The 20,909-nt window shown below is 47.1% G+C and overlaps 1 protein-coding gene across 1 annotated transcript in view; it reads right to left on the bottom strand.

The window, feature by feature from the left end:
* Positions 1 to 20,909, bottom strand: part of ACO2 (aconitase 2) — a 59,858-nt gene that overhangs the window by 25,006 nt on the left and 13,943 nt on the right. Inside the window, exon 2 of the mRNA NM_001098.3 lies at positions 4,107 to 4,243. Coding sequence (NP_001089.1) covers positions 4,107 to 4,243 — 137 coding nt within the window. The remainder of the gene's footprint in view (positions 1 to 4,106; positions 4,244 to 20,909) is intronic.

Raw genomic sequence — 20,909 nt, 5'->3', positions numbered from 1 at the left:
GTGCCGGGATTACAGGCGTGGGCTACCATACCCGGCTAGAATATAATTCTTTTTAGCATAACCTCACCTCTGCCCTCTTTCTCCGTGTCAGGGTTTCTCAGCCAGGGCACTATGAACCTATTTGGGCCGCAGAATTCTTTTGTTGTGGGGCTGCCCTGTGCGCTGTAGGATGCTTGGTAGTATTCCTGGTTACCCATTGGGTAACAGTAAGCCCCAACCCCAGCCAAGTTATGACAACCAAAAATATCTCTAGACATCACCAAATGGGCCCTAGGGACAAAACTGACCACCCCCCACCTTGTTGAGACCTGCTCTGTGGCAACAATGAAAACAGAGAACAGACCAGGTGTGGTGGCTCACACCTGTCACCTCAGCACTTTGGGAGACTGAGGCGGGTGGATCACAAGGTCAGGAGATTGAGACCATCCCGGCTAACATGGTGAAACCCCTTCTCTACTAAAAATACAAAAATTAGCTGGGCGTGGTGGCAGGCGCCTGTAATCCCAGCTACTCGGGAGGCTGAGGCAGGAGAATCACTTGAACTTGGGAGGCAGAGGTTGCAGTGAGCCGAGATCGTTCCACTGTACTCCAGCCAGCCTGGGCGACAGAGCGAGACTCCGTTTCAAAAAAAAAGAAAACAGAGAACAATCCCCTCGTCTGTACTAATCTGGAAAATGTTCAAAGTTATTGGACTTTAAAAAAAAAAAGAAAAAAATTTATTGGACTTTTCTGGTTGCAAAGCAAGGTTGGAATAAAAGTAAGCAAGGAAAAATATTGTTGTAGTTGTCAATTTTAATGATAAAATTAAAACTAAAAAACTCCCAGTGCCTTAAAGGGTATTTTGTTGTTGTTATTAATTGTTTAATGCAAAAACTAAATAGTGAATAATACTCTGTTGTCAAGTTATCTCAAAGCGAACCTCTTGCTGGGCACAGTGGCTCAGGCCTGTAATCCCAACACTTTGGGAGGCCAAAGGCAGGGGGATCACTTGAGCCTAGGAGTTCAAGACCAGCTTGGGCAGCCCATCTTTAAAATTTTTTTATTAATTAAAAAAAAAAAGGCCAGGCGCAGTGGCTCACACCTGTAATCCCAGCACTTTGGGAGGCTGAGACAGGTGGATCACTTGAGGTCAGGAGTTCGAGACCAGCCTGGCCAACATGGTGAAACCCCCATCTTTACTAAAAATACAAAAATTACCTGGGCATGGTGATGCACGCCTGTAATCCCAGCTACTCAGGAGGCTGAGGCAGGACAATCGCTTGAGCCTGGGAGGTGGAGGTTGCAGTGAGCCGAGATTGCACAACTGCACTCCAGCCTGGGTGACAGAGTGAGGCTCAGTCTAAAACAGAAACAAACACAAACAACAACAAAACAAATCTCTATGACAGCTCTCCTTCATACCTGATGAAAGCAAGGTGGAAGTGTTTTACAGAGTAAAGAAAAATCTATCACTTTTCCACTGAGCAGCGGTGTGAGAGCTCCAAGAATAAATACAACGTCCTATATTGACAGGGACAGTGGTTCTTCGTCCTGACTGCACTATGGGACCTGCTGGGGAACGGGCCAGTGCTTCTCACATTTTGACAGGCACGTAAGTCCCTTGGGGATCCTGTTAAATGGCCGGTTCTGACTCAGTGGGTCTGGAGTGGGGTCTAAGATGCTGGAATTCTAACAAGCTCCTAGGTGATGCCAATGCTGCTGGCCCATGGACCACATTTTGAATAGCAATGCCTAGATCACTTGAATCAGAATTGCTGGGAGTGGGGCCCAGGTGTCCGTCATTTTTAAAGCTTCCCAGGTGATTCTAACATGGAGCCCAGAAGAAACCCACAAGAACAAGCCCTGGAGTCACAGAGACCCAGGCTTGAGTGTGGGGTCAGTCACTCAATACATGTATGGCCTTAGGGTATTTCCCCAACCTGACTTTCAATTTTGTTACCTGCAGAATGGTGGGGGGCAGAGATGGAAAGCAACAACCTACAGGGGTTGTTGAGAACAGAAATAATGTGTGTCAAGTACCCAGGCCAGACTGGACAACAAGGTGGGTACTCCTGTCACAGCCGTCCTTGACAAACAATAGGTCCTTTACTATAATTAGATGATGCTGTGCTGGAGGCTGGAGATCCAGATTAAGGAAGTCCCTACCCTTAAAACCGAAGTGGGGATACCAGTAGATAGAAAGCAAAGTGGCATGAGAAAGGGAGTATGGGGTAGTGGTTAGAGTACTAGAGGGTACAAAGACGAGACACCACCACTCATGCACTGCATGGTTGTGGGCAGGTTCCTTCTCCAGCTGAGCCTCAGCTACCCAGCGGGTAGACTCAGATTTGTTCTCTCCCAGGATCACCACTGTCAGTATCAAAGAAGCCACCAGGCAGGCAAGGGCACAGCCCCATCTGCAGTTGTTCAGGTTCCAATCAATCAAAGCAAACTTCTATGACAGCTCTCCTTCATGCCTGATGAAGAGCAAGGTGGAAGTGTGGCAGTGCAGGCTGGTGTGCATTGCCAGCCCCGACTCCTCATCCTCTGTGGTACCTTATTCATCCTTTTGGTGGCAGCATCTAACCCAGGACCTGGCACACAGGACAGCAGGGCAGAGCTGACTGCCATTTTACCAAGTGAGGAAAATGAGGTCCAGAAAAAAGACATGCTCAAGATCCCACCTTAGGCCAGGCACCATGGCTCGCGCCTGTAATCCCAGCACTTTGGGAGACCACGGTGGGAGAACAGTTTTGAGCCCAGGAGTTCGAGATCAGTGGCAATGTGGCGATACCCCATCTCTACAAAAAATAAAAAAAGTAGGTGAGCATGGTGGCTCACGCCTGTGGTCCCAGGTACTCAGGAGGCTGAGGTGGGAGGATCACTCAAACCCAAGAGATTGAGGTTGCAGTGAGCTGTGATCGTGCCACTACACTCCAGTGTGGGCAAGAGAGTGAGACCCTGTCTCAAAAAAAAAAATAGTCCCAGCTGGGCACAGTGGCTCACACTTGTAATCCCAGCACTTTGGGAAGCTGAGGCAGGTGGATCACCTGAGGTCAGGAGTTTGAGGCCAGCCTGGCCAACATGATGAAACCCCATCTCCACAAAAATACAAAAAATTAGCCAGGCATCGTGGTGCGTCCCTGTAGTCCCAGCTACTCGGGAGGCTGAGGCATGAGAATTGCTGGAACCTGGGGGGCGGAGGTTGCAGTGAGCCGAGACTGCACCACTGTACTCCAGCCTGGACCAGAGTGAGACTGTCTCAAAAAATAAAATAACATAACATAAAATCATAAAATAAAATAGGCCAGGCGCAGTGGCTTACGTCTATAATCCCAGGACTTTGGGAAGCCGAGGCAAGCTGATTGCTTGAGCTCAGGAATTCGAGACCAGCCTGGGCAACATGGCAAAACCCCATCTCTACTAAAACTACAAAAATCAGCCGGGTGTGGTGGCAGGTGCCTGTAATTGCAGCTACTCAGGAAGCTGAGGCACAAGAATCGTTCCAACTGGGGAGACAGAGGTTGCAGTGAGCCAAGATTGCACCACTGCAATCCAGTCTGGGCAACAGGGCGAGACTATGCCTCAAATATATATATATTTATATATATTTTTATTTTATATATATAAATATATATATACTCTGCCTCAAATATATATAAATAAAATAAAATAAAATAAAATAAAATTAAATTAAAAAGGTCCCATCTTAGTTTATCTTCTGGGTCTCAGACCTGAGCTCTCCTCTGTGCCTGTGCACTGAAGAGGAAATAGAAGATGATTCTCCAGGCACTGGGCCTGGTGGCTTCCAGAGGGCAGGCCGAGGGTCAGCAGCCTGCCCTGAAAAGGTTGGGAGGTTCAGGTTATAGTGCCAAAGTGTCTCAGAGACCTGGCTGTGGTTCACATCTAGAGGCTTCTTGATAACACAGATTCTCCCTTGGCAGAGAGGACAGAAGTTACACCACTGATCTGGAATGCCTTTCCTCAGCAGAAACCTTTGTACCTTGAATACCTTGACCCTGCCACTATCACCAAGCATCCTTCACAAAACACCTCCTTCTCTGCCTGACGGGCAGGCAGCAGACGCAATGCCCTTGACAGTCACAGCCTCCCATCTGCAGCCTTACCGTTTGCGAACAATGTTAATGTTCTTCTCTAGCAGGTCATAATGGATGTACTCGTTGGGCTCAAAGTGGCTCATCGCCACCTTGGCCCGTTGGCACAGGACTGAGGCCACATGGTACTGCCGCACACCCAGAGCTTTCTGCAAGAAGAAACATGACAGCCACTGTCAATGGAGCACTTAGGAGAGTCCATCCCCGAGGGCAGCTCAGTATGGTGAAAAAAATCCAGGAATTAAAGTGTCAAGAGCTGTTCAGTAACTGCAGCCTCAGCTTCCTCATCTGCAGGACAGGGATGACAAAGCAGCCACAAGGAACACAGCCTGGGGTAGGAAAAAAGTGCAAGGGATTTATAGACAAAAATCGCTGGGATCAAAGTCAAGTTCTATCATGTAAGGTGTATCAATGTAAGAAAAGCCCTCATTGACTAAAACCCAGAGGAGATAGAAAATAGGGATATAACCAGCTCTGGTGATCACACGGGGTACTGGGAAGGTTAAATAAGACCATAAGTGAAAGTGCTCATTAAGCTGTAAAACACTATCCAAACCATAGCTATTAGTCTACCTGCACTATAAGCTTCTTGAGGGTTGAGATCAAGCCTTATTTATCTTACTCATCTCTATGTCTGGACTACCTGGCACATACTGGAGATTCAACAAATATCCATGGGTCAGAGGGAAGAATGAATGAGGAAAACCCTGTGCGTGAGCTTTGGATGTTTCCTCATCCCTTCAAAAGGTGGTGCCTAATTCCCTTCCTTTTTTTTTTTTTTTTGAGACGGAGTCTTGCCGCCCAGGTGGGAGTGCAGTGGTGGGATCTCGGCTCACTGATACCGCCGCCTCCTGGGTTCAAGCTTCAATTTCTCCTGCCTCAGCTTCCCAGTAGCTGGGATTACAGGCACGCACCACCATGCCTGTCTAATTTTTGTATTTTTAGTAGAGACGGGGTTTCACCACGTTGGCCAGGCTGGTCTCAAACTCCTGACCTCAAGTGATCCATCTGCCTCGGCCTCCCAAAGTGCTGGGATTACAGGCATGAGCCACCGTGCCCAGCCATTACCCTCCCTTTGAATGTGTGGCGGACTTACTTCTACTTTATAGAATGTGACAAGGGATGCTATTGGACTTTGAGACTAGGTCATAAGAAGAACAGCTTCTGCCTGGCTTGCTCTCTCTCTTGGATTGCTCTGGGGGAAGACAGTCCCCATATTGTTAAGCAATCCTGGGAGAGGCCCACCTAGACAGGAACAGGGGCCTCTTGCCAATAACCAGCACCACCTTGCCAGGTGTGAGTGAGCCATCTTGCAAGCGAATGCTCCAGCCCCGGTTCAACCCGTCAGATGGCTAGCCCCGGCTGACATCTTCACTGCAACTTCTGGAGAGGCCCCAAGCCAGAACCACCCAGCCAAGCCACTCCCAAATTCCTGGCCCACAAAAATATGAGATAAATGCTTGTTGTTGTTTTAAGCCTTTAAGTTTGGGGGCAATTTGTTACACAGCAATAAATAAATGATTGTTATGGTGGGATCTGTATTAGTTAATTTTTTTTTTTTAAGAGATAGTGTCTTGTTCTGTTGTCCAGGCTGGAGTGCAGGGGCAAGATCATACTTCCCTGCAGTCTGAAACTCCTGACTTCAAATGATCCTCCCATCTTAGCCTCCTCGGTAGCTGGGACTACAGGCGCACACTACTACACCCAATTATTTGTTTATTTACTTATTTTTGAGATGGATTCTTGCTCTGTCGCCAGGCTAGAATGCAGTGGAGCGATCTCAGCTCACTGCAACCTCCGCCTCCCGGGTTCAAGCACTTCTCCTGCCTCAGCCTCCCGCGTAGCTGGGACTACAGGCACCCACCACCATGCCCAGCTAATTTTTGTATTTTTAATAGAGACAGGGTTTCACCATGTTGGCCAGGATGTTCTCGATCTCTTGAACTCGTGATCCGCCTGCCTCGGCCTCCCAATATTTTTTTTATTTTTTTTTAAAGGGAGTCTTGCTCTGTTGCCCAGGTTGAAGTGCAGTGGCATGATCTTGGCTCACTGCAACCTCCACCTCACGGGTTCAAGTAACTCTCCTGTCTCAGCCTCCCAAGTAGCTGGGACTACAGGCACACGCCGCCACACTTTGCTAATTTTTGTATTTTTAGTAGAGATGCAGTTTCTACATATTGGTCAGGCTAGTCTTGAACTCCTGACCTCAGGTGATCCACCTGCCTCGGCCTCCCAAAGTGCTAGGATTACAGGCGTGAGCCACTGCGCCCACCCTAATTCTTTTAGGTTTATTTTTTGTAGTGATAGGGTCTCACTACATTGCCCAGGCTGATTTCAAACTCCTGGCCTCAAGCAATCCTCCCGCCTCAGCCTCCCAAAGCAGAGATTACAGGCATGAGCCGCTGTACCGGGCCTGTATTAGTTAATCTTAAACTATGAATAACAACCTTCAAGGGTACCTTGTTACCAGAGAAGAATAAATGAATCCAAAGAAATGACAGCAAGAGGCCGGGTGCAGTGGTTCACACCTGTAATCCCAGCACTTTGGGAGGCTGAGGCAGGTGGATCGCCTGAGGTCAGCAATTTGAAACCAGCCTGGCCAACGTGGTGAAACCCTGTCTCTACTAAAAACACAAAAATTAGCTGGGCATGGTGGCGGGCACCTATAATCCCAGCTACTCAGGAGGCTGAGGCAGGAGAATTGCTTGAACCCAGGGGGCAGAGGTTGCAGTGAGCCAAGATCACCCCACTTCACTCCAGCCTGGGTGACAGAGCGAAACTCCGTCTCGAAAAAAAAAAGAAAAAAGAAATGACAGCAAGAAGGGAAGAGCTGCTTCCCTTCTAGGTGGTTGGTGTTCCTCGTCATACCTTGGGTAAGGGAAGAGGCAAAGCTGAAGCCACTGCCCCAGGCTCCCTTCTGTATGTCACCTGGATATATAATCCAAACGCTGTCAATCTCAGCACCTGAACCCAGTATGTACCCAGAGCAGCCATTCCCTGTTCGAGTCACCCAGCAGTAAGAACAGGCCACATTCTGAAACAGCACCCCTGACCATCACCCATTCTAACCTATGGCAGGGGCAACATCCCCAGTCCAGACTTCACATCCATTTGCCCTCAAGCTCAAACCTGACTGATGGCTCCTCACTGCCTGCCTCACTGGGTAGGTGCAAAGAACCCACCAATGACATGACATCAAAGGACCTTCCACAGTGCGTGTGCATAGGAAGAAGGTAGTGTATTTCTGCTGCAGTGATAAACGCTATCCCTGTGACGGGTGGAGGAGCCCAGTGCATGGGGTAGATGGAGTAGCAGAGCCCTGGGTTTAAGGATGGCCCCACAACTTACTGATCCTGGACAATTTAACCTCTCCAAGCAATCATTTCTTCACAGAGCTATTGTGAGGATCTGGAGGGATTATATAAAGTACTGAGTACGTTTCCATGATTATTACCCTGTGCGTTCCTAAGTGTACACACAGCTACCCCCACCATGTTCTACACACAAATGAGAAACCATACAAGTTGTTCTGCAACTCTTCTTCTTTTACTTTTTTTTTGAGACAGGGTCTTGCTCTCATCGCCCAGGCTGGAGTGTAGTGGCACGATCTCAGCTCACGGCAACTTCTGCCTCCCAGGTTCAAGCAATTCTCCTGCCTCAGTCCCCCAAGTAGCTGGGCACTACAGGCGTGCACTACCACACCTGGTTAATTTTTGTACTTTCTTGGTGGAGATGGGGTTTCACCACGTTGCCCAGGCTGGTCTCAAACTCCTGACCTCAAGTGATCCACCCACCTTGGCCTCCCAGAGTGCTGGGATTACAGGTGTGAGCCACCACACCTGGCCTGCAACTCATCTTTTTCACTTACTAACAAATCTCAGACAGCTTTCCAATGTGAAATTACCAACCTGTTTCTTTATTTTTACAAATTAATTGCCCTAAGTTTCAGTTTCCTTAGAAATAAAAACAACTGTGGCTGAGCGCGGTGGCTCACGCCTGTAATCCCAGCACTTTGGGAGGCCGAGGTGGGTGGATCACGAGGTCAGGAGATGGAGACAGTCCTGGCTAACACGGTGAAACCCCGTCTCTACTACGGCGTGGTGGCGGGCGCCTGTAGCCCCAGCTACTCGGGAGGCTGAGGCAGGAGAACGGCATGAACCCAGGAGGTGGAGCTTGCAGTGAGCCGAGATCACATCACTGCACTCCAGCCTGGACGACAGAGCAAGACTCAGTCTCAAAAAAAAAAAAGAAATAAAAATAACTGTAACAATACCTATTGCCTGGTCAGTAGGCAAGACAATACATTGTAATCTTATCTATAGTACCGGGAAAAGGCAAAGCCCCAATTCCCAACAGCCAGGGCACGGTTAAGCAAACTACAGACTACTTATCAATACGTAGATGGGCTTAAGAAATAATGCTGGGCCAGGAGCGGTGGCTCATGCCTGTAATCCTAGCACTTTCGGACACAGGAAGATTGCTTGAGACCGGGAATTCAAGACCAACCCGGCCAACATAGCAAGACCTGTCAAGGACAAAACAGGCCAGGCACAGTGGCTCACACCTGTAATCCCAACACTTTGGGAGGCTGAGGCAGGAGGATCAATTGAGCCCAGGAGTTCAAGACCAGCCTGGGCAAGACAGCAAGGCCTTGTTTCTACAAAATAAAATAAAACATAAATTAGCTGAGCATGGTGGCATACACCTATAGTCCCAGCTGCTCAAGAGGCTGAGGCAGGAGGGTCACTTGAGCCCATGAGTTCCAGACTGCAGTGAGCTATGAACTCACCACTGCACTCCAGCCTGGGCAACAGAGCAAGACCTTGCCTCAAAACAAAACAGGCTGGGCGTGGAGACTCACGCCTATAATTCCAGCACTTTGAGAGGCTGAGGCGAGTGGATCACCTGAGGTCAGGAGTTCGAGACCAGCCTGGCCAACATGGTAAAACCCCATCTCTATTAAAAATACAAAAATTAGCAGGGTGTGGTGGCAGACGCCTGTAATCCCAGCTACTCGGGAGGCTGAGGCAGGAGAATTGCTTGAACCCAGGAGGCAGAGGTTGCAGTGAGCCGAGATCCCGCCATTGCACTCCAGCCTGGGTGACAGAGTGAGACTCTGTCTCAAAAAACAAAAAGGACAAAATCATATGTTGATACAGAATACAGCCTGGCGCAGTGGCTCACGCCTGTAATCCCAGTACTTTGGGAGGCCGAGGTAGGCGGATCACTTGAGGTCAGGAGTTCAAGACCAGCCTGACCAACGTGGTGAAACCCCATCTCCACTAAATATACAATATTAGCCGGACATGGTGGCGTACGACTGTAATCCCAGCTACTCAGGAGGCTGAGGCAGGAGAATCGCTTGAACCCGGGAAGTGGAGGTTGCAGTGAGCCGACATCACGCCATTGCACTCCAGCCTAGGCAACAAGAGCGAAACTCTGACTCAAAAAAAAAAAAAAAAAGATACAGAATACAACTTATGGGTAAAGAAAGACTATGATGTCTCTAATATGAGACAAGCACAGTGTGACGCACCTGGAATATATTACATGGCCTAATCTTCACAGCCACCCAGTGAAGCGGCTCCTATGATTATCTCAGGCGGGATCCAAATCCAGCCTGAGTGACCCACGTGCCTGCTGTTGCCCCAGACAAGTCATTTAACTCCTTAAACCTCCGTGCTTAATGGAGATACACTTCACAGTGTTAAACACAAATGAAATCAGCTACACATTTCACCCTTAATCACTGTGCCGTTCTGCTTTCCAACTATGTGAAAGTGTCTGTTCCCAACATCCAGTGCTGTCCAAGAGGACTTCCTGTCCTGATGAACATGTTCTAGATCTGTGCTGTCTGGTGTGATCTCAGCTCACTGCAACCTCTGTCTCCAGGGTTCAAGCAATTCTCCTGTCTCCACCTCCCAAGTAGCTGGGATTACAGGCATGTGCCACCACACCTGGCTAATTTTTGTACTTTTAGTAGAGAGGAGGTTTTGCCATATTGGTCAGACTGGTCTCGAACTCCTGACCTCAGATGATCTGCCTGCCTCAGCCTCCCAAAGTGCTGGGATTACAGGTGTGAGCCACCGCGCCTGGCCTTTTTATTTTTTACAACATGTTGCCCAGGATGGTCTCGAACTCCTGGACTCAAGAGATCCTCACATCTCGGCCTCCCAAAGTGCTAGGATTACAGGGATGAGCCACCGCACCCAGCCAAGGAATGGAATTTCTTATGTCACTGAATTTTAAATTGCCAGATTGAACAGCTTAGGTTTATAAATTAGTAAGGATGAAACACTCATTCTCACTAGTCTATCTGCTCATTGCAACAAAAAAGTAAAAGACAGCTAGACTTTCAGTCTTTGCCAGTTCACCTATCTTCTCCAGTCCTCAGGGGAAATCTCAGCTTGACTCCTGGCTTCAGAGCAGTGAGAGGCTGTAGTGCATGAAATGTCACATGGAAACTGTTAAAAGAGGGGGCCATATCAACATGCTTACCCTGTATTTTTTTTTTTTAATTTCATTCTCTACACATGGGCAAGAAATATGCTTACCCTGTAGACTAACTTCAAGGGCAAGGCCACCATGTGTTGTGGTTTGAATGTGTCCCCCAAAGTTTATGTGTTGGCAACTCAATGCCCAATGTCAGTGTTGAGAGGTGGGGCCTTTAAGAGGCGATTAGGTCAGAAGGGCGCTACCCTCATGACCGGATTAATGCTGTTATTACAGAAGTGGGTTAGTTGTCATGCGAGTCGGTTCCTGATAAAGGGATAAATCCGGCCCCCTTCCTCCCCTCTCTCTTGCCCTTACGCCTTCTGCTAAGTGATGACACAGCATGATGGCCCTCACCAGATGCAGCCCCTCAATCTCGGACTTCCCATCCTCCAGAACTGTAAGAAATAAATTCCTTTTCTTTTCTTTTCTTTTTTTGAGACGGAGTTTCACATTTGTTGCCCAGGTTGGAGTACAGTGGCGCTATCTCGTCTCACTGCAACCTCCGCCTCCCAGGTTCAAGATATTCTTCCGCCTCAGCCTCCTGAGTAGCTGGGATTACAGGCGCCTGCCATGACGCCTGGCTAATTTTCTTTTTTTATTTTTTTTGAGATGGAGTTTAGCTCTTGTTGCCCAGGCTGGAGTGCAATGGCGTGATCTCGGCTCACGGTAACCTCTGCCTCCCAGGTTCAAGCGAGTCTCCTGCCTCAGCCTCCCGAGTAACTGGGATTACAGGCATGCACCAGCACACCCAGCTAATTTTGTATTTTTAGTAAAGACGGGGTTTCACCATGTTGGTCAGGCTGGTCTTTAACTCCCAAACTCAGGTGATCTGCCTGCCTCTGCCTCTCAAAGTATTCGGATTATATGCATAAGCCACTGCGCCTGGCCTAATTTTTTGTATTTTTAGTAGAGACGGGGTTTCATCATGTTGGCCAGGCTGGTCTCAAACTCCTGACCTCAGGTGATCCGCCTGCCTCGGCCTCCCAAAGTGCAGGGATTACAGGCATGAGCCACTACGCCCGGCCTAAATTCCTTTATAAATTACCCAGTATGTGATATTCTGTTATAGCAACACAAAATGGACTAAGACACCACATATCATTCATTCATGGACCACATATCTCTCATATGTTAAATAAATAAATAAAAGACTAGCTTTGGGTATTTACCCTGCTTTTAGAATAAAAATTAAAAATTACTAATTAAGCATCTGTTCCATGCCAAGCACTTTCTGTGCCTATTTTGAATTCCCAATATAACAGTGCAAGTAACTTATTCCCATCTCACAGATGTGGAAACTGGAGATCAGGGAGGTAAGTCAGAATTCGATAGCTGGTATGCAGTTGACTCCAGGATGCAAGCTCAGGTCTCTCCTTCTGTGATGGATCACTTCTTCTAGATCCTGCTACCTCTAGAATCTCGGCCAGTCCCTCTCACCTCATATGGCCCCTCCTTTCCCAGAACAGTGTGGTAGTTCGGATTGAAGAACTATAGTCAGATTGCCCAACCCAGCTCCACCACTTAACTGCTGTGACCCTGGGGAAGTTATTTAAGCTCCCCACATCTTAGTTTTGCCATAAATAAAATGAAGATAAACTTCACAGCATTGATAAAAATGAAATCATCTACATAAAGTGCTTGGCATATGGCCTATTCATAATAAAAGCACTCCACATGTGTTATACTATATTGTTTCCTCCATAAAGGAGATGAACGTAAAACTAGAAGTGGTGACATTGTGTTCGTTCTCTGGATGTTGCCAGAAACAGCATGCCTCTTCTTATTTTTCTTACTGCAGACAGTTTTAAAGGCCCTTGTGGCTGATTAGCATTTTCCAGAAGCCTTAGCTCATCAGGTCCTTTGGCATTCCTGACCCCCTTCTGATGTATTCCAGCTGCTCTGCACTGTTCCTCCTTGGTTACCTGACCCCCTTCCAACTTTGGACAAGTCATTCTAAAACTCTAAACTGATTTATTTAGGTGCCTCTCTTTCTCCTCTCCAGATTATTTGTAATTTGTTAGAATTTGCCTTGGAAAGTCTCCCATCCCTCTCAAACCCCTTCTGCTCATGGGCCCCTGGCAGTGGGATCTCATCTATCTGGTATCTGGGAAATTCAGAACCCGCCTTCCTCAAGGGCACTGAACATGATGAACCTCCTTGGCCAGAACACATTCTAAAGGGACCTGCCACAGGTCTTTACAGATGCAGTTTTTCTTCTGCTTGGAATGTTTGCTGTCCACCTCCATTCCCAGTCTGCCCTTTGCCTAGGGAACATCCAGTTGATCCATCAAACTCCAAATACATTTCACTTTCTCAGGGAATCCTTCTCCGAATCCCCAGCCCTATGAGAGCCTCCTATTATATATGCCCTTTACCTCTCCTTGACTTCATTCATGAGATGATGTCTGTCTCCAAATATTTTAGTCTGTAAGCTCCACTAGGGAGAGATTGTCTCTGTTTATTCATAACTAAAATCCCCCGGCCTGAAAAGCAAGCCCGATACACAGGAGGTGTTACATAAATACCAATTAGTTAAAAAAAGGGATGTTGCTTCTACTTTCCCAACCAGCTCTTCCTTACTAAGCAGGATTAAAATACAGAGCAGGTTGAGTTAGTCTTGTGAGAGCCAACAGTTATCAAGGCAAATCAATACTTTATCAGTCTTAGATGCTTTTAGTTAGACTGTAAAGAGGTTCAACATTTTGAAAGACAATTAGGTAATACATATTAAAATGTAAAGTGTTTGCACTCTTTGACTAGCTTTCCCTCTTCCAGGAAACTATCTAATTAAAATATATAAAAGAGCAGAGAGACAGGCAAAGGTACTGTCCGCGGCGCTGTTTTTAAGAGAACAACCCAATTGTCCATACACAGGGCACTGATTGAATAAATTCTGGCTCATGCACCATGGAATGCCACTCTACAGCTGTTTACAAAGAAGATAATGGTGATGGTTGCACAACATTATGAACATAATTAGTACTAATGAATTGAACACTGAAAGTGGTTAAAATGTCAAATTTTCTGTTAGATTTGACCACAATTTTTTTTTTTGACACAGAGTCTTGCTCTGTCGCCCAGGCTGGAGTGCAGTGGCGCAGTCTCGGCTGGCTGCAACCTCCGCCTCCCGGGTTTAAGCGATTCTCCTGCCTTAGCCCCCCACTGAGTAGCTGGGACTACAGGCACGTGCTACCACGCCCAGCTAATTTTTGTATTTTTAGTAAAGACAGGGTTTCACCATGTTTGCCAGGCTGGTCTTGAACTCCTGACCTCAGGTGATCCATCCGCCTGGGCCTCCCAAAGTGCTAGGATTACAGGTGTAAGACACCGTGCCCGGCCTGTAACTTTTAAATGTTGCATGATATATACATTTCTTTTGTAATCAGAAAAAGAAAAAATAAACCAGGCAAATAGTGAAGAAAAGCATACTCCTTAAAATATAGAATAGCAGAATTGTTTAGCGGCAATTTGACAATAATCAAAAGCGTTTTGGTTTTTTGAAATGTGCAAACCCTTTGTTTCAGCAAGTTTACTTACAGGAAGTTATCACTATGAAGGAAAAGGAAAAAAAAAATGTACCTTTACAATAGCAGGATCTGATTACCACCATTTTAACCCAGAGATCAAACACGGCACCACCGACAGCAGGACCACCCGACACCGGTGCCTCCTGGTGACACGGCCTCACCTATAAAGAAGTCTTGCCCAGAATGTTTAACCTGCATCTAAGCAAGCTTTGGAACCTTACCTCCAGAGTAAGGGAAATGCAGGAGGAAAAAAGAACAATGAAACCCAGAAGGTGGACATTCTACAGGAAAACTGGCCTGGTCTCTTCAAAGAGTCAATGTCATGGGGAAGAAAGTGCTGGGGCAGGGAGCGGGGGTGCTGCTGTAGATTAAGACAGGCAGAAATGGAAAAACAAATGCAATGTATGTTTTTTATTAGATCTCGATTTGGAAACAGATAGCTATCAAAGACATTTTGGAAGAAATTAAGAATGTGGTCTGGGTATTACTATTAAGAGTATTATTATTTGGCCAGTGCAGGGCTCACAACACCTGTAATCCCAGCACTTTGGGAGGCCAAGGCAGAAGGATGGTTTGAGCCCAGGAGTTTGAGACCAGCCTGGACAACACAGTGAGACCCTGTCTCCACAAAGGATAAACAAAATTAGCCGAGCAAGGTGGCACACGCCTGTAGTCCCAGCTCCCTGAGATGCTGAGATGGAAGGACAGCTTTAGTCCAGAAGGTCAAGGCTGCAGTGGGCTGTGATCATGTGTGCCACTGCACTCCAGCCTGGACCACAGAGCAAGATCTTATCTCAAAAAAAAAAGGGGAGGAGGAGGAACTGGATTATTCCAGCTGTATCAAAATCACCTGGAAGGTTTTGTAAAAACTCAGCTTCTAAGCCCTATCACTCCCAGAGCTCTGAACCAGATCACCTGCAGTAGGGCCTAAGCATCAGTAAAAGATTACCAGGTTACTCTGAGATAGCCACATCTGGTAACCACTGAACCTGATGTTCTCCAAAGTTCCTTCCAGCTCACAGTCTATAAATATTCCTCCCCAGCAAGCAGGCTCTCCAGTAAACCCCCTTAATCCCCAAAGGCCTGGAGGAAAGCACAGCAATGTCAGAATGGATTTATCTGTATCAAGGAAGAAACCCCCAGAACCCAGGCCCTTCTGGCTTAGCCACAGCCTTCACCTTCATGTACATGCAGGTAAGGAAGCAACGAGCTACATGTGTGCACATGTGAAATGCAACCCAGTGTGTTGCCCCAGAACGCACATGAGACTCAGAACAGCACTCGATTATGATCAGGCCACTGGCTGGTCACACAGCTTACTCTTTCTTCTATAAAACAGGGAGAATGATCCCTGTAGTCTACCTCACTTAACAAAGAATTCATTTAACAATGAATACCTTCCTAGGTGCCAAATGCTGTTACCATGAGGCTTCCAAGCTTTTCCAAGTTAAGGCACATTAACAAAATAATACATTTGGACACCACAGAGCAGTAAGCAGACTAAACTGCTGCCAGGAGGCAACCGGCAGGCTCAGCATGTCACCCTGCTAGGGTAGGGTAAAGCCAGGGCTCACTATCTTGACATGCCCACGTCCCATCTGCTATAGCGCACCTGAGGGATGCCTAGTTGTACCACATTGGACACTGGGAACACCACCATGGGGCCCCTACCGTCAGGATTACCATCTGGTAGAATAAGGAAGACACCAAAACAGAAAGTGCTGTAGTATTATAGTTGCTATTGTGCACATTAGGTGCAAGATTCAGTGAGGCCACAGAAATATGAGCAATCAAGCGCAAAAGTAGGCAAGATTTTATCAGGCTCAAACCAGATCATGTTTGAGTTCAAGTTCAAAAAAACTGGCTAGAGATGCATATATTTTGAAGGTAATAATAGTAGGATTTGCTGAAAAGTTGGCCAAGGGGTGTGAGAGAAGGAATCAAGAATATAACTTAGGTTTTGGACCTAAGTAACTGGGAAAATGGGTTGCTATAAACGAAATGGGGAAGGCAACGGGAAGAGCAGGCATGCACGGTGAGATCAGGAGTTTGGTTCTGGACATTGGACTATCTGATACCCAAGTGGAGAGGCCAAGCAGGCAGGTGGATTCTCATCCTAGATAAGCAGCCCTCTAGAGCTGTGTTAATTTGATGATTCATCTAGAAGTATAGATTATCACAACTCAAGATGACCCCAGATCACCAAGAATTTTTTCTTTGTTTGACAGATGAGGATATGAATGCCAAGGTCACATACCTAGTTAACAGAAGTTAGGGGCAGAATTCAAGCCCTCCAATTATCAAGTCAATGCTTTCCCTCCCATACTACCTCCCCAATTTAAACTAACGTCTTCCTGATTCATTAAATGTTTCTCCAGTCCCAGACTATGTGTTGTGGTGCCTGAATTTTAGGTGAGAAAACATGTCAAGTCATCACTCAAGGGACTGTGTAAGTGACTATGTGAGAGAAGTGCTGTGATAAAAAGTTAAGCTGCTGTAACAGCATAAAGCTGGACAGCTTAATCCAGAATGGGGGAAGGGCTTCTCCAAGAAAGTGATGTTTGATCTGAGGCTAAACAAATGGGCTTTAGGGGAAGGAGTCCAGGGAATTTGGCACAGAGAGAACAGCATGTGCAAGAAAGCACTTGCAACTGAAAGAAAAGAAAAGCAGCCAAGCACGGTGGCTCATGCCTGTCATCTCAGCACTCTGGGAGGCTGAGGTGGGTGAATCACCTGAGGACAGGAGTTCGAGACCAGCCTGGTCAACATGGTGAAACCCTGTCTCTATCAAAAATACAAAAATTAGCCGGACGTAGTGGTGGGCGCCTGTAATCCCAGCTACTCGGGAGGCTGAGGCAGGAGAATCACTGGAACCTGGGAGGCGGAAGCTACAGTGAGCCGAGATGGCGCCACTGCACTCCAGCCTGGGCGACAGAGACAGACTGTCTCAAAAAAAAGAAAACAAAAGAAAAGCAGCTTGGTTGTGGCAAAGTGAAGAAGAAATGGCAGAAAATAAGACTGAGGAGACAAAAAGGAACCAGGTATCACGAGGGACCTTGAAGGTGTAGAAATGCTACACAATGGGCCGGGAGCAATGGCTCACGCCTGTAATCCCAGCACTTTGGGAGGCCGAGGCGAGCGGATCACAACGTCAGGAGATCGAGACCATCCTGGCTAACATGGTGAAACCCCGTCTCTACTAAAAATACAAAAAATTGGCCGGGCACGGTGGCGGGTGCCTGTACTCCCAGCTACTTGGGAGGCTGAGGTAGGAGAATGGCATGAACCTGGGAGGTGGAGCTTGCAGTGAGCAGAGATCGCGCCACTGCACTCCAGCCTGGGCGACAGAGTAAGACTCCGTCTCAAAAAAAAAAAAAAAAAAATACAAAAAGTTAGCCGGGCGTGGTGGCACACACCTGTAGTCCCAGCTACTTGGGAGGCTGAGGCAGGAGAATCGCTTGAACCTGGGAGGCAGAGGTTGCAGTGAGCCAAGATTACACCACTGCACTCCAGCCTGGGTGACAGAGCGAGACTCCGTCTCAAAAAAAAAAGAAGAGGTTGACAGTAGCTTATCGTGTACCCTCTTTCCTAGCAGCACATTTGCACTCTATTATGTGCCAAGCAATAGGACTCAGATACCAAGAAGAGTGAGACAGTCACTAGACTAATATGCCTCAGTCTAGCCAAGATCAGGAAGTAAATGCAAAACCTCACTGTAACCTTTGAAAGAAGGACACACACACACACAAGGGGCAGGAGTGGAGCACAGAGAATGAGAAGCTCTGCCTGGGATGTTTCCACAAGGCTTCACAGAGAGAGCAGCGCCTGAGCAGGGTCGCAGAGGGCAACCAGGCATTTGCAGGGCAGGTGAAGAGAACACACAGCATGCACACAGAGACTCACCAAGTGAAGCATGCAGAAGCTGCCAATCACTCAAAATGCTGGGGTGTAAAAGACAAAGCAGGAGGCCAGGCACGGTGGCTCGAGCCTGTAATCCCAGCACTTTGGGAGGCCAAGAAAGGCGGATCACCTGAGGTCGGGAGTTTGAGACCAGCCTGACCAACATGGAGAAACCCGGTCTGTACTAATAATACAAAAATTAGCCGGGCGGGCCGAGCGCCGTGGCTCACACCTGTAATCCCAGCACTTTGGGAGGCCAAGGCGGGTGGATCACAAGGTCAGGAGATCGAGACCATCCTGGCTAACACAGTGAAACCCCATCTCTACTAAAAATACAAAAAAAAATTTGCCGGGCGTGGTGGTGGGCGCCTGTAGTCCCAGCTACTCGAGAGGCTGAGGCAGGAGAATGGCGTGAACCTGAGAGGTGGAGCCTGCAGTGAGCCGAGATCGTGCCACTGCACTCCAGACTGGGCGACAGAGCGAGACTCCGTCTCAAAAAAAAAAAAAAAAAAAAAAAATTAGCCGGGCATGGTAGCGCATGCTGTAATCCCAGCTACTCGGGAGGCAGAGGTTGTGGTGAGCTAAGATTGTGCCATTGCACTCCAGCCTGGGCAACAAGAGTGAAACTCCATCTCGAAAAAAAAGACAAAGCAGGAAATAGTGGAAGATCAGGGTGGAAACCCAGCCAGGCAGGGGAGGGTGTGGCTCGCTGTCCTAAAAACCTGAACTATAACCTGCTGTTTACAAGGGGCAATGTGGCACAGTGAAGATAACTTAACCTGACCAGGAGCAGTGGCTCACGGATCCCAGCACTTTGGGAGGCTGAGGTGGGTGGATTACCTGAGGTTGGCAGTTTGAGACTAGCCTGACCAACATGGAGAAACCTCGTCTCTAATAAAAATACAAAAAAATTAGCAGAGTGTGGTCGCACACGCCTATAATCCCAGCTACTCAGGAGGCTGAGGCAGGAGAATCACTTGAACCCGGGAAGTGGAGGTTGCAGTGAGCTGAGACTGCACCATTGCACTCCAGCCTGGGCAACAAGAGTGAAACTCCATCTCAAAAAAAAAAAAAAAAAAAAGAGCTGACTCCAAAGCCCAGCTCTGTCACTTACTACCTACATGACAAGCACATTTCACCCCAATTTCCTCACTTGGAAAAAAAGAATAATATCTGCAGTATTATGTGAGGAATGAAATGATATGAATGTTATTCTGAGTTACTGTGAGGCATGAAATAATATGAATGGGTTCCCAAAGAATAGCAAGTATGTAATTATGTAATATGTAAAATACTAAAAGTAATTCCAGCACTTTGAGAGGCTGAGGCAGGAGGATCACTTGAGCTCAGGAGTTCAAGACCAGCCTGGGCAACATAGTGAGACCTAGTCTCTATTTAAAAAAAAAATTACCAGAATTTTTCCTCCGTTATAAAAAGCAAGATATATTTCATGGAGAAAATATAGAAAAATCATAAAACACACAATTTTACAGACTCCCTGAAGCCCATCCAGGGACATCTATCATCATTACCCATCCACCAGCTCCCTGGCCTGGTACAGGATATCTTGTGGGTCTCTAATACTCAATGACTCCAAGCAAGGCACCAAGCACTAGTCCATGCTGCATCTCTCCCTCCCCACAATCCCTGGTACCATGGAATCCATTGTACCCACACTGAACAGGTGTCAGGGCTGAAGTTTCTGAGCAAATACAACCCTGATAATACTAATCTTTATTAGTAGTATTTGATACTTTTGTTTTTAATGTAATTTTCTATTTTGATCAGAGTAACATCTTTACGCATTATTAAAATTTAAAAACTATCATTATAAAGGAAACCAGGACTCAAGTCCCAACCCCCCATTTCCCTGCCCCAAAGACAACAAACTTCAACACTTGGTGTACTTATCACAAATTCATTCTCAAACTCTCCATCGGCTACGACACTCGATATTATGAATGCGTCAGGAGATCCACCAGCCTCGTCATCTCCTGGAGCCTCTGTCTCCTTCCCCATAAGGTCTAATACCTCTCTGGAACTCACATCCATTAGTATCCTTAGAATATCCTGTCCTCCTCTTGAGTTGGATTCTTGTTTCCTGGATTCAATGGATTTTTCTTAGATTACTGTCGTTTTGAGAGAACACATCCTCAAGTATCTGCCATCCTCCCACTGCAGCCTCCTAAAGTGCTGGGATTAAAGGTGTAAGCCACCATGCCCAGCCCAGTATTATTTAAGGAAGGATGATGATGATGCCTTGGGCATATTTTTAATTTTCTTTTTTTTTTTTTTTAAGACGGAGTCTCACTCTGTCGCCCATGCTGGAATACGGTGGCGCAACCTTGGCTCACTACAACCTCTGCCTCCTGGGTTCAAGCGATTCTCCTGCCTCAGCCTGCTGAGTAGCTGGGATTACAGGCATGCACCACCACGCCCAGCTAATTTTTGTATTTTTAGTAAAGACAGGGTTTTGCCATGTTGGCTAGGCTGGTCTCGAACTCCTGACCTCAAGTGATCCGCCCGCCTTGGCCTCCCAAAGTGCTGGGATTACAGGCATAAGCCACTGCACCCAGCCATATTTTTTAAAAATAACTTTACAGAGTTCTGTTTTTATTTCCTGATTCCAAAAGTAAAACACACTCAATGCTCAGTTCAACCTCAGGCCACAGAGACATTCCTGAGGTCACCCATAAGGCCATCCAACACAGTTTTCCCAAAACTGGGAAACGGGAAAATTTTTTCCCATACTTGGAGCCTACGTCTCAGGCCTTGTAAAATCCTCACTGGTAAATCCCAGGCCCTCATCTAGAAGAAATACTTTCACTGCGCCCTCGCCCTCCACTTTCCCCCACTTTCTGGGGAACAAAGGGGCTGAGGGCAGGACTGAGGT

Source organism: Homo sapiens, chromosome 22 (assembly GCF_000001405.40).
Source record: "Homo sapiens chromosome 22, GRCh38.p14 Primary Assembly".
Classification (NCBI taxonomy): Eukaryota; Metazoa; Chordata; class Mammalia; order Primates; family Hominidae; genus Homo; species Homo sapiens.
This window is presented reverse-complemented; position numbering and strand designations above follow the sequence as displayed.